Source organism: Homo sapiens, chromosome 1 (genome assembly GCF_000001405.40).
Source record: "Homo sapiens chromosome 1, GRCh38.p14 Primary Assembly".
Taxonomy (NCBI): domain Eukaryota; kingdom Metazoa; phylum Chordata; class Mammalia; order Primates; family Hominidae; genus Homo; species Homo sapiens.
In genome coordinates this window covers 221,072,137-221,086,583 of record NC_000001.11, presented here as the reverse complement: position 1 = coordinate 221,086,583, position 14,447 = coordinate 221,072,137, and the positions used below count along the sequence as shown (strand labels likewise).

At 39.5% G+C, this 14,447-nt stretch overlaps 1 long non-coding RNA gene across 3 annotated transcripts in view; it reads right to left on the bottom strand.

Annotated features, from left to right (window-relative positions):
• LOC101929750 (uncharacterized) overlaps nucleotides 1–14,447 on the bottom strand; it is a 60,750-nt gene that overhangs the window by 21,280 nt on the left and 25,023 nt on the right. For 2 of the 3 annotated variants that reach the window (XR_001738478.2, XR_001738479.2), the window contains exons 4-5: nucleotides 8,373–8,504; nucleotides 4,571–4,762 (exon numbers count right to left, since the gene is read on the bottom strand). This is a non-coding gene — a long non-coding RNA (uncharacterized LOC101929750). Of the gene's footprint in view, nucleotides 1–4,570; nucleotides 4,763–6,569; nucleotides 6,755–8,372; nucleotides 8,505–14,447 lie in introns of all 3 variants that reach the window. The other variant, XR_001738477.2, reaches the window with a different exon arrangement.

Sequence of the window (14,447 nt, the reverse complement as noted above, 5' to 3'; positions counted from 1 at the left end):
TGTGTACGTTGTACCCAATAGGTAGTATTTTATTTCTCTTCCCCCTTCCATTCTCCTCTTGGAGTCTCCAGTGTCTATCATCCCAATCTCTCTGTCCATATGCACCCATTGTTTAGCTCCCACTTATAAATGAGGACATGTAGGTTTTGACTTTCTGTTTCTCAGTTATTTCACCTAGGACAATGACCTTCGGTTCCATCCATGTTGCTGCAGAGATAGAGAGAGAGTACAAGTGCAGGAGCTGGACTTTCTGCCAGTTTGGGTGCAACACAAGCATCCCCAAACCTGCCTTGACTGCAGAATTTTATTGCTTTTGATGGTAACGGAAAACAGAAAGACTGCAGCTGGGCCTGAAGTCCCAAGTGGAGTTTAATGTGGCTGCAGATGAAAAAGTTGTGTTTTAACTTGCAAAATGAGAAAATATGATACAGTAATAAACATGGGTGGTGCCTAAGCATCAAATCTGTGTACAAAATTGCAGCATAATGAAACCAACAGAGGGGAACATCTATTTACTTTCACTCTTTTAACCACAATAATTTAAGAGCTTTAAATACTTTTGATGGAGTTACAGGCCTAATAAATGTCACATTCCAAAGTTTGAAAGCCTAAAAGTTACTCTGGATCCCTGCAGTTAAAACAACAACAAATATCCACAACTCAATCACTCAAAGTTCCAGTGATCTTATAAAGCAATCCAATTCTGCTCCCTTGAGCCGATGATATCACTTGTTAGACTTGTCTAATAAATCACTTGGTCAAATTTAATCTCTACTTGCACAATATTATTTAGCACCTCATACATTCTGTTCCCTGTTTAGGGCAATTCATTAATTAGACATTGTCATATCTGTGAAATCAGGATTATACTTGCCATCCTCATTTTTCATGTAAAGAAACAAAAGAGCAAAGACTTCTTTGCAGTAATGCCTTAGGCAAAAAACAATTCACATCATGGGTATTGCGCTCTATGCTTCATTCTGTTATTGTGCTGAAGAAGACCTCTGATTCCTGTGCAAATTTTCTGCTCTTTAAAAAATGTTTTTCATGCTGAAAAATGAGTTATAAAAACCAGTGGGACAGAGGGCTTCCTGAAGGGAATGGTGAATAGTGCTCATACAGCAAAGAGATCAATACTTAAAAATGGAAACACCCCATTAAACTTGGCATGTTGGAAGTCATTGGTGACTTGGATAAGTGTCAATGAGATAGACACAAGACAGATGCCAATGGATCAAAAGTGATTTGAGATGAAAGAGATGACAGCAAATATAGATTACTATTCCTAGAACTGTGACCGTAAAAAAAACAAACAAACAAACAAAAAAAAAACAAGAAAACAAACAAAAAAAACAAGGGTTTTTTGTTAATGGCATCTTGATTGCACTGGTTACCCAGCCTCAGCATCTAGTCATCTTTGATACTTTATCTCCCTTGCCTCCTACGTTGGAATTACCAATTCAGTGAAATTTGTAGAAATCAATGCCTCTAAAATGAATAAATGTTTTTTGATTTTCATGGCTACATCTTCATTCAGACCGTCATTGTTTCACACCTAGACACTTCAAGAACTTCCTAACTTTTGGCCTAGCACTTCACGCCCGCAACAATCTGCAAACTAACTCCCTTATCAGGTTTATCTACCTTGACGACCCCATTTGAGTGCTTTTCTCCAGCAAAACTCTCCACCAAAATCACCCTGCATGTTTTCACATCCTTGCCTTTGTTTTTGTTCCAAGCACCCCATTAAATGCATCACCATCCTTCAAGATCCATTTCAAGTATCATCTTCCCCATGAAGCTGGCCTGCCCTTTCCAGGCAGAGATGGTCTTTCTTGTCTCTGGCTACCTTAGACCAACATGTTACTCATCATTCACTATACATTCATCAAGGCTTCTTGAGTTCCTTCATAACAGGGACCCCAGTATTTAGCTCTCCCCTGAACTTAAACAGTACTCTTCATATTATATAAAAAGGCACCTGACACAAAGTTGGTGGAATGGTATTTCTTATTTGTAGCTACATGACAGAGATAGCTAAAAATGTGGCTTCTGGTTGTTTTCGCTAACAGTTACTCATTTTGTACCTGGTTCCTGATTGCAAAGTTATGATGTTTCAGAGTAAAACCAGCCACTTTCCTAAGACTCCAGAAAAAAAAAACAGACTCCTATGAACAAACTGTTTCCAACACTTATGCACAGTAATAACAAATCTGTTGAAAAACCAGTTAGTTGGTACAAAGCAGTTATCACTTGAACCAATAATATTATCAGGTCACACCTTTTAGTTAACAAAACTGAAGACTATGCAGGAAGCTTTATGCAGGGAACTAAGTGTAAGATTCTTAACTGTTGGAGATAATATGTTGACATCATTTAAATTTGTTCTTTCATATTTACTCATTTATTGAATATGTATTGGTTGCATATCATGTGGACAGCACTGTATTAGGTATCACTTTTTCTTCCACTTTTTAAAAAGTTTCCAAAGCTTACTGATGTTGGGGGAAAACCTCGTCCCCAGAGCCTTGGCCTTGAATTCAGAGGTTTCTGAACTGAACTCTGACTGCTTCTAACTCATAGCCATGCCAGTCCACTTTCCATGCCTTCCTTTCCTCATCCATTCACTAAGAGGTGGAGAAAAAAGACAAAATAATTCCATTTGTTAAAAATGAATCTAGGGTCCACTGTGCATAAGAATAGAGCTACAAAGGGTGTATTCGGAAGCAATCTACAACGATCACAGTAAGTACATCTTGAATAAGTCAACAGAAACAAGAACATTTTGAAGTGTTTCAGGAAAAGTAAAGAAATTAATGTAAAATAAATGAAAGAGGAATATTCCCGTGCATCCAGCACCCAGATCCAAAAATAGCGCCATAGAACATTAACAGCAGAAAGGATAGCCACTATCCTGGATTCTAACAGGAGTCTACATATTTTTTAAAGTTTCCTAGCTTATTAGTTAGGTTTTGAAGCAACTGTTTTAGGAAAGTTAGCAAAGAATACCTTACAATCTTAAAGTTATTTTCAAGTTCTTTACATAGGGGTGTGTGTGTGTGTGTGTGTGTGTGACAGAGAGAGAGAGAGATCAGATATGCTTGGATCGCCTTCCCCTGCCCCAAGGATCTGGAAATATGATACATGGACAACAATTTATTTTCCATGGATATATGATTGAGTTCTTTAGCAGAGGTGGAGAAGGAGGTGACATGATAAGAATAATGTCTTAGAGTCTAATTCCATCATCCAAAGGTGTGGGTTGAAATTAGGGACAATTGGAGCCAGAGAGACAAGGGACTAAGCTATTTTTATAATACAGGTGTGAGATGACAAGGGCTGATATTAAGCTAGTGACTGTGGATATAGGGAAGAATGGTTGGTTGGAGAGATATTGCGGGCACATAATAAATTCCAGAGGATATATTGGCAGATGCCAAAAGACAAGATTTCCCAGAATTAAATCCCGATGCTCATAAACTCTGGTATGTTCCTTTATCCCACAGTGTGGGACTGTGTGTGCATGTATCTATGTGTGTTTGTGTGCCTGCAGCTTCACCCCAAAAGATCAAAGCCTAATTACTGTACAAACAGACATAAACCACATGAATACAAAACAGTCTCTGTCAACTGAGAAGTGTTGAGGACATCTTTTTGTAAGTTTCATGCCTCTTAGGTAGAGTTCAAAATGAATATCATCTAATTTTGGATCTTTATTCCAAGGTGAGACAGGATGCCCTGTTTTAATCAAGAGTTTATAAAATTAAAGGGTGTGAGATCACCTATTCTGTTTTCTAAAAAATTGATGTAGATAGATACTATGAATGCTACCACACACACCTCATTCCCATCCTACAGAATATATCCTATACCATTCTGGAGGCCTCTCCCTAGAAGCTAACACACTATGCCAAAACATGCAGTGGTTTAGTGAAGTTAACAGACATCTGAGAAAAGGATGAGACCACTAGACATATTTCCACTAGTAAGAAGAGCCAGGCGTTCCAATGAGACCTCCAGAGGCAGGCATCTGGCTTGGTATTCACCCACCAATCCCACCTACAATAGCACTTGTAGGGTTTCTTCCCATAAACGAGTGTGTTCATTGGCTTCAATTTATGTTTGTTGAAGGAAAATCATACTGCTCAAGTAATGGAAATGATTCTTTTCATAAATTCAATGAACACAACGATGTAACAGTAGATCAGAATCCAACTTAAAAGAAATTGTTTTCTGAAGGTAAATGGAGTCATGGGATTCTTGATAAACAATAAGAAGGTGGGGGTCTAATCGCATCATATCTCAAACTTTGATAAAGAATAACCTTTACTGTTGTCACCATGAAAATTAAAATGCAGAAAGTGTTACTCTCTCTGGTCCTTTTACAAACCATATGAGCAATACTTATGGCCCAAATCTGCCAAACAAAACACATTCAATCCTTAAAGCTGAAGCTCATAGATATATATATATGCTTTATGAATTGTACATATGTGTGTGTCTGCACATGCATGTGTGTGTGTTATCATTTGTTCAGCTGCCTCAGGGGAGATACTAATTCTTTGCCTACCTGACTTTAGGCTGGGCCACATCACTTTCTTTGGCCAGTGGAATACGAGCAGATGTCTTGAATATGCTGTGAGCTTGGTCTTTTGTGTTCCAGTGATCTTCCATGAACAGAACATGCTTTAGGTAATCATTATACCTTTATCCCAGATGCAGGACAAATTCACATGGAAAAGACCTTCACTCAATCTGCAGCCTGAAGTAAAAAATATATACGTGAAGCAAGGAGCAGAAAAATACCTCAAACTATTATTAATATCTCAGAGAAGCCAGGTGTAGTGGCTCATTCCTGTAATCCCAGCACTTTGGGAGGCCACGGTGGTTGGATCGCTTGAGGTCAGGAGTTCAAGACCAGACTGGGCAACATGGTGAAACCCCATCTCTACCAAAAACACAAAAAAATTAGCTGGGCATGGTGGCGGGTGCCTGTAATCCCAGACACTCAGGAGGATGAGGCAGGAGAATTGCTAGAACCTGGGAGGCGGAGGCTGAAATGAGCCGAGATTGCACCACTGCACTCCAGCCTGGATGACAGAGGGAGACTCCAACTCAAAGAAAAATATATTTATATTTCAGAGAAATAAGAAAAATATTGTGCTCATTTAAAAAGCAGGATATTGTATTTGAAAAGGAATATTCAGAGAACAAGAGCTCTTGAAAATAAAAAAAATCACAGCCAAAACATAATATTCACTAGAAAAGTGAATACTTATTATCCAATAAAGAAACTTCCAGAAGTAAAATCAAGAGATAAAGAGAAAACAGGGGATAAAAAGATAAGACAACTAGAAGATTAATTCAGAACATTAAAGGTACAAATAATAGGAGTTTCAGAGAGAACAGAGAAAATATAATGGACCAAATTGCCAAAGAAATAATATGAGGAAAATATCCTAAGACTGTAGTATTGAGTATCCAGATTAAAAAGCACACAAACAGCCCAATAAATGAATGAAAACATCACCACCCAAGAACATCACTGTAAAATTTAAGAACATCAGGCAAATAAAGGAGATCCTAAAAGTTTCCAGACAATAATTCTTGGGAACTATTGGATTGGAAATTAGATTGGCATCTGACTTCTTATTAGCAACTCTGAATGCCATAAGACAAAACAGTGTGAAATACTTTCAGAATTTGAGGTAATTTCAACCTAAAATGCTATGTCCAGGCAAATAATTAAAAAAAAAAAGATTGAAGTAGAACTGATGTTTATACTGTATAAGGTAAGTCAGAGGGACTCTGTTGGAGGATGTTTTCCAGTAAAACAAGGGAGGAAATCAGGAGGGAGATATCTTACATGCTAAGAAGCAGGAAATGAGAGAAATTGTTGGGATGATGGTGAAAGGAGTCCCATAACGTCAACTGTGCAGCAGGCACAGAGGGAAGCTAATTGCAAGTGGAATAGGAGAAGGAGGGCTATGACAGGAAGGTCCCTAGGGGAAAAATTAAAAACTGAAACATTGATTTATAAATGAATTTGAGTGTCTGTAAAAATTATTGATAGAAGTTTGATAGGTCTGTTGGAACATTTAAGAAGAAAAATGTGATTGATAATAATAGAAAATTTTAGAATAGGTAATTTTTAACTCAAGGTGTGGCTGGGAGTGGAGGATGATTTTTAAAAAAGAAGAAAGAAAAAGCAATGAAAAATTATAGTAAACTACTTGACCCAGCATAAACAATATTAGATAAACATGGCTATTGATTTAATCAAAGATCTAATTTAACTGTGAGAAATGGGGGATGGAGAGTTGGTAGTAATACATGAGCATTAAATCCTCAACTGCATTAGTAGCAAGTAAATAATTAATGTCTAAAATTGACTTAGCTTGGCTTATCTGCCAAGCCCAGAGACCACCAAAGCCAAATCCATACAGTTCCCATAAGTAAGCCCTTTCCTGTCTCTTACCCACCTGAAGCTACAAACCTAGAAGGAGTCAAACACAACAACAGGCAAAGATAAGGAGAAGATGTGCCAAACGAAGAAATTGGGAAAATACCTACTGCGGTCTCCTTCTACCGCAGAATGACTGGAAAAACCATGGGAGCTGGCACATTAAACTAGCTCCAGGACAGGTTGAAATAGGCAGGGGGTGATGACATGTTTGGGGGTATAGTTGCTTCCTGTTGGCACCCTTTGGAGTTGTGCTCCATTAATCTTTAGTCTGGCAGCCACGAAAGTGCCCTAAATAGCCAAAGGAGAAAAAAAGAAGGATGAGAGGAGCGAATTTTGCCAAAGTTTCTCTGCACCCTGCCAACACTGATGGCCTTGGGACAGAACTAAGCTAATTGGGCCACAGGGGATAGAATCCAATGCATCCATGTCATTAGCCTTTGGACTCTTTCCCATGATCTGTGGCACATATGGACAGACATGGCCCCACCCAGCCTCTCTCAAGGAAAGAGAACTACCTGACTTCTCTGCCAGACATGTGAGAAGGAGACAAAAAGCAGGAGAGTGGGGCAGCACCTCCATCTCTACCACAGATGAGACTGTGAATATGAAGCTAGGAAACTTCCACCGTCCCTACACCCCATATTATCTGAAGGCTGATCAGGAAGAGTGATGCTTGTATTCTAAAAGCCTGTGTGAAGGCGGGGCTCGGTGGCTCACGCCTCTAATCCCAGCACTTTGGGAGGCTGAGGCAGGCAGATCACGAGGTCAGGAGATAGAGACCAGGGTGAAACCCCGTCTCTACTAAAAATACAAACAATTAGCCGGGCACCTGTAGTCCCAGCTACTCGGGAGGCTGAGGCAGGAGAATGGCGTGAACCCAGAAGGCGGAGCTTGCAATGAGCTGAGATCGTGCCATTGCACTCCAGCCTGGGTGACTGAGCAAGACTCCGTCTCAGTAAATAAATAAATAAATAAATAAATAAATAAATAAATAAATGCCTGTGTGAAAAGGACAGCCCCTTCAGGATGGGACACCGATCTATCCTCGCCTGGTAAGATGGTTAATTTTTTATGCCACTTGACTAGGCTACTGAGCCAGGTTGTGTTCAGTCAAACATTTGTCTAGATGTCGTTGTGAAGGTATTTTTTTAAAGGTGATTAACATTTAAACAAGTAGACATTGAGTAAAGCAGATTGTCTTCTACAGTGAGGGTCAGCCTCATGCAATCAGTTGAAGGTTTTAAAGGAAAAGATTGAGGTCCTCTGAAAAGAAAAGAATTCTCACTCCAGACTGCCTCCAGACTTGAGATTGCAACATCAACCTTTCCTAGCTCTCCAGCCTACTGGCCTGCCCTACAGATTTAAGACCTGACAATCCTAACAGTTGTTGGTATGACCTAAATCCTTAAAATTTTATAATAAATCAATGTCTCTCTCTCTCCTCTCTATGTAAACATGCAAATATATGTTTGCATATATTTATATGATTTGCATACATGTGACTTATATAAATGTATGTGCATGTAAATAAACATAAATTATCTCTCTCATATGTATATCAATATATACACACATATACATATGTGTGTGTGTGTGTGTGTGTGTATAAAATATTGGTTTTGTTTCTCTGGAAAACTCTGACTAATGCACCTGGCATTATGCTAACATCAACTTCTGGAAGAGACATCTGACTTCTTGCCATCAGTAGAGTCCTATGTACCCAATCCTGGAAGGAAAAATTATTATTCAAACTCCAAAGGTTTGATGTTTATCATCAAATCTCAAGAACACCAAATTTAGAAAGAAGCAAAGAGGCAGAGCCCTGACAAACCTGAACACGATGGTGACCCTTACTCCTCAGAGGCCAGCTTTTCTACCAGGGTGGTTCTAGTTTCACAAGATTTACCTCAGTGTAGCTGATTTCAAAAATTGCTCCTTCCAGGAAAATGAGTTTTTGGTATCCTTCTTCATCCACAAGGATGTGGGTTTGTTTATCCTCCAACCTCCAGATTTTCGTTCTTTCTCCCACTTCTCACCTCTAAAAAACAATAGTTTTGAGTACAATCATTGAAAAAAAAGAAAGAGGAGTAAAGAAAAAGAAACAAACAGAAGAGCCATGGGTGTTGCTGGTGGTCATTTGAGAGCAGCACTTAGATCTCAAACCTACCTTTGTCCATCAGTTTCCTCTTCTCAGCCCCCTTTTAATCATTGATGTTCTCGGCTGCCCTTCCTGTAAGAACCTGTTCCAGAACCTTCCTGGGAGACTTCTCCACGGTCATTGGCCACTGTGCTTGAAAGACCTATTTTGCACTAGATGGAATGCTGCTAATATTGCTATTTACTATTAAATTGTGTTGATTTGCTGGGAAAACATTTTTAATAATTTTCCACTGGAAAGTACATAAAAACACAAAGACGTAAGTAAAATTTATTCAAAAACATGAACATGTCACTTTAAAAAATTACACCAAACACAAAATAAAAGGCTTATCAGGAGACATTTTTGTGTATTACTTAGAGTATATGCTTCATTTTCTATACTTATAATTTTATGTAAATATTTTATCATCTACCTTACCACCCAACTAAACCATATGGCTTTAGAGAAAGGAGACAATGTCTTTTTTTTTTTTTTTTGAGACGGAGTCTCACTCTGTTGCCCAGGCTGGAGTGCAGTGGCACCATCTCGGCTCACTGAAACCTCTGCCTCCCGGGTTTAACTGATTCTCCTGCCTCAGCCTCCCAAGTAGGTGGGATTACTGGCATATGCCACCACGCCCGGCTTTGTTTATGTATTTTTTTTTTTTAGTAGAGATGGGGTTTTACCGTGTCGGTCAGGCTGGTCTTGAACTCCTGACCTCAAGTGATCTGCCCACCTCGGCCTCCCAAAGTGCTGGGATTACAGGCCTGAGCCACCGTGCCCAGCTGACAATGTCTTATATACCACTGTATCTGCACCTTGTTATGCAGTGAGCTAAATATATAGAAGTTGCTCAGACAACAAGAAAACACCTGCTGAATGAATGCAATCAGTGTACTTAGTTCATACATTTTTCTTTCATTTCATGTCTAGGCTTCCAATACCTGTTCTGAATTTCATTTGGGAGATTAATGCAGAGAGGCTAGGTGTGTTGCTAGTCAAACAATTCTTTCTCACAAACAACAGGCTTCCAACTATCAGTTGTGTCTCTAATTCAGAAACAGCCCCTCAGTGCTATGAAGACTTTTTCTAGTATCTTGGTCATTGAACTTTCAGGTAAAATAAAGCCAAAGTATATGACAAAATAGTAACCACATTATCTTTCTTCATGTCTGGGCAGTCCCTTCCTGGCTCCTTGGAACTGCTGGCTGCCTTTCCCCTTGATCAAGCAGTAGCAGCAGTAATCCTTGCCTCCCTGGTGAACTTCTCACCACGCCCAGAGCGTATGGGATAACTCCAGAAGGCATAATGAGAAGTTACAGGGCCCAGGGTAAATGTCAATGTAAACATAATTGGAAAGATATTAACTGAGACTGATGGAAGGCTTCCCAAAATCTTTAACATGACCTAATCATAAAGTAACCACCAGATGTTTATAATTACTATTCAGCCTTATTCGCCTCCTATCCACTTTATGAAGGGAAAGGAAAGGGACAGCTACCCACAGCATGGGTGGCTGTGGGCTTATGCAGGGAAAGATGTGACCTGTGTTCCCTATTGGCTGGACCCAAACATGACAAGTCATTCCAACTATGGCCAAAAGTTATTAAGTTCCTGAATGAAAGACTGCAGCTCATGAGTTTCTTCCAGACCCATATCAAAGCCCAATTAATTTAGAAAAAGGAGGAGGCCACTTTCCATCATCGTGTGTTTTGAGGAGCACTAAATAGGAATTTGGCACCAAGTATTTCCTTCAACCAGTTACAATTCCAGATATCTATTTATTAGAGAATTACTTCCTGTGTTCCTGAGGCTTTGGAGGTCTAAAAATGCCCTTGCTATGCATGTGCCTCTCTTTCATAGCAGTCCTCACACTTGTGAAAGCTGGCATTCTGTAGCCTGGAAACCGGAAGTTGCAAGCGAAGTTATGAAGAGAAGAAGGAGAGGGAAGGAAAGATCTTGTTAGTGGAGATAGGGAGAGAGGGTGCTGTAGTGAGAAAGGAGGGCTGGAGGGAGGAATCAAAGGGATCTTTACAATTTAGCTAAGGACTGAATCAGGCAGTAGGCTTTCCTGGGTAGAAACCCTGGCTGACATTATCCTAAACAAATTGATTCAGGAACAGACAACCAAATACCGCATGTTCTAAAGTGGGAGCTAAACACTGACCACATAAGTGGGAGCTAAACATTGAGTACAGATGGACACATAGAGGGGAGCAATAGACACTGGGGCCCACTTGAGGGTGGAAGGTGGGAAAGGCCAGGCGCAGTGTCTCACGCCCATAATTCCAGCACTTTGGGAGGCAAAGGTGGCCAGATCACTTGAGGCCAGGAGCTCAAGACCAGCCTGGCCAACATCGTGAAACTCTGTCTCTACTAAAAATACAAAAAATTAGCCAGGCGTGGTGGCACATGCCTGTTAATTCCAGCTACTTAGAAGGCTGAAGCAAGAGAATCACTTGAGCCCGGGAGGCAGAGGTTGCAGTGAGCCGAGGTTGCAGTAAGCCGAGATCGCCCCAGTGCACTCCAGCCTGGGTAACAGAGTGAGACCTTGTCTCAGAAAAAAAAAAAAAAAAAAAAGGTTGGAAGAATAAAAATTAAAATTTAAAAATGAAAAATAAAAACATGGTATTGTACACTTTAAATGGGCAAATTTTAATATATGTGAATTACATCTCATTAAAATTTTTTATTAAAAAATAAATTTAAAAAAGAAACTCTGACCTGGATTCAAATTTGTGTTTTAGCCCCATTTTACAGATGAAAGAAATGCCGCACAAGGAGACTAAGTAACTTTCTCAAGGTCACAAGGCCAATATGTATGAATCGAGATTGTGGAAAGCCAGAGTCTGTGCTCTTACCCATTCAGTGGCACAGCCCCTTCCACATAAAAGAAAAATGATACCTACTTTTTAGAGTGGTGAGAATTTAATGTAATTTAGGTAGAGCACCTAGCCCAATGGCCATTGTACAATAAGTGCTCAGTAATGAACATCTATAGTTACTTTAGTTAATGATAATATTCTACCAGTCTTTTTCCTACATTGTGTGGGCTGCAGATGCCCATATAGTCCTGCCCCAGGCCAGACCTGCACAGGAAACTGCAAGACCAAACAGGCTTCATTTAGATTTCAGGGGACTACACCTTCCTATGCTTTCTCAAGTTGCTTTATCTCTTTCCTAACTACGGAAATAAACTGAAAGTTACATACAAAAGAAAAACAGCCACCAGACAGGAAAAAATCATTGTCTTTAGCATCCAGGAATTAATAGATCAATTTTGTATTTCCACTGAGAATTTGTTTTTATCCTCAGCACAAGCCTTCTGCTCAGAGCAGAGTTACAGTTTTACTCACAGTGAGTGTGCTGGTAAATTCAGCTTTCCTACAGGAAACGTGAGACTTGTGACAAGGTTATTGTGAAATCTAGACAAGGTTTCTTGCTTCTGACTGCTGTTGGCTTGCAACCAAGGGAAGACCCATCAACTCAACAGTCTTCAGAGCTGACATGTAAACAGGACAATCTGCATATTTGCTAATGTCTCCTCTTGCCATGCCCCTGGGCTGTGGACATGTACTGGTCTGTGGCCTATTAGGAACAGGGTTGCACAGCAGCAGGTGAATGGCGGGGAAGTGAGCATTACCACCTGAGCTCCACCTCCTGTCAGATCAGCAGCAGCATTAAATTCTCAAAGAAGCAGAAATGCCACTGTGAACTGCATATGCAAAGGATCTAGGTTGTGTGCTCCTTATGAGAATCTAATGCCTGATGATCTGAGGTGAAACAGTTTCATCCCGAAACCATCACCCAACCCTGCCCACCTCCCACCCCTGCTCAGCAGAAAAATTGTCTTCCATGAACCAGTCCCTGCTGCCAAAAAAGTTGGGGACCACTACCCTAAAAACCTGAATTCCAAGAAAAAAAAAAAGCAAAATCTTATAATATGAGGTCCCAATGTAGCAAATGTCTAATTGCCTATTTAGCTTATATAAAATAAATTCTTACTGGAAGCCTCAAAATATCCCATGTCAGTCATTCAAATTAGTTGTGATACTTTAGAACAGGACTTCTTTATCTTTAGGATCTACAGATGTATTTTAATGATCTGAAATTGTACCCAAATCCTCTAGGTACCTGTATAGTTGTTTTCGTGAAAGAAGCAGCTTTACTTTCTTAAATAAGATCTGCAACCCAAAAAATATTGAGAATTATTGACATACACATGTACTCTGCACAGAAAAAAATGTTCAAAATCCATTGCTAAATCACAAAAAAAAGTTGCTGTGTATTTCTGTGTTATATGGTACTTTTTTGAAACAACAAATAAATTTATAGAAAAATATTATAAATATACACCAAAAATAACAACAGTGAATATCTCAAGATGTGAATTTGTGAGTGATTGTTTTGTTATGTTTGCTTTTAGCTTTTGTATGTTTTGCATGTTTTTCTACAATAAGCATGTTAGTTTTAAAATGTGGGAAATCCCAGTAAGTGTTATTTTCAAGCTAATTTCAAAAAGCCTTTATAAATCGTAGTCCATATACCCTTCCTTACCATTATTACCCATGTTACTGCCAAATACCTCTCTGTCAGTATTATGTGATCTGGGTCATAAGAATACACACTCCAGTCTAGGAAGGCCTTCCATGGACTGGTCAGATGGCCATTTCTGGGTCGCAAAATCTGGATGGCACAAATGTTGGTCCTGGTTGAGACTTGAAGAGAGGTCATACTTCTGTAAGAAAAGAAGACTAGAAACTTTGAAGAAGAAAAAAACGGAAATAGAAGAAAAGCTGTGTAACCCAGAAACAGCTCAAGCTACACCTTAAGTCTGTGAGCAAGCAGTGCATTTCAGAAAGGTGGATGTTGCCGGTAGGACCTTTCTAACTCTTCAGCTCTTCAGCCAAAGCAGTGAGGAAAATAATGTTTACATCAAATGCCCATTCATGTTTTGTTTTAGTGGCAGAACTAAATTATTCATCCAAATGCTAGAAGGCAAACACATTCCTCAAGGAGAGTCTGGCAAGCTGTCCAGAAGTTAACTTACTGTTGAAAGTCTTGTCAGTGTGCAGGATTTAGAAAATGGGAGCTTTGGGAGATTGGGGATGCGAGAAGTATCTACACTATGGTTGACAGATTTAGCAAATAAAATACAGGATGCCCAGTTAAATTTGAATTTTAGCTAAACAGCAAGTAATTGTGCATAAAATATATCCCAAATATTGCATGGAACATACTTCTACCAAGAAAAAATATTGTTGTGTATCAGCAACCCTAATGCTTAGAAAACAAAGAAGAGCGTATCTGCATGGGCATATTATCTCACTCAAGACAGACAACGTACATACATACTGAAGGGAGGGTGGGTAGAGGTACAGAAAGTCTAGGGCTAAGGACAACTTCTTTCTGGACCTAGAAAAGGCCCCTAGAAATAAAGTGAAGCAATGAGTTGAATAAACTTCTTGCTTTCATGTAAGAAAATTGGGTCTTTCTAATGTTGTACTTCTTGGTTTAATATTGGTTAAACCAATATTACCCCAAAAGCAGAAGGCAGAGAAAACCAGGAAAGTCCCAGGGTACATAGTGTGCAAGCAGACAGCAAAAGGAACGTGCTAAATGGCAAAGGGTAAGTCTCAGAAGTGTTGCAGTTGGGGTTGAAGTAAGTGTTGGTTGGTTATGCTTAACTTTTCCTACAGCCAAGATTTCAGCACTTCATCTGAATACCTTGCACCTTGCAAAATTGTTTTCCAGAAAAAGTGCACTGAAAAATAAAATCATGTTTTTTTAAAGTTAAGGGAAAAGAGATATGTGTTGATGCCTAGATCTATGTGACACCAA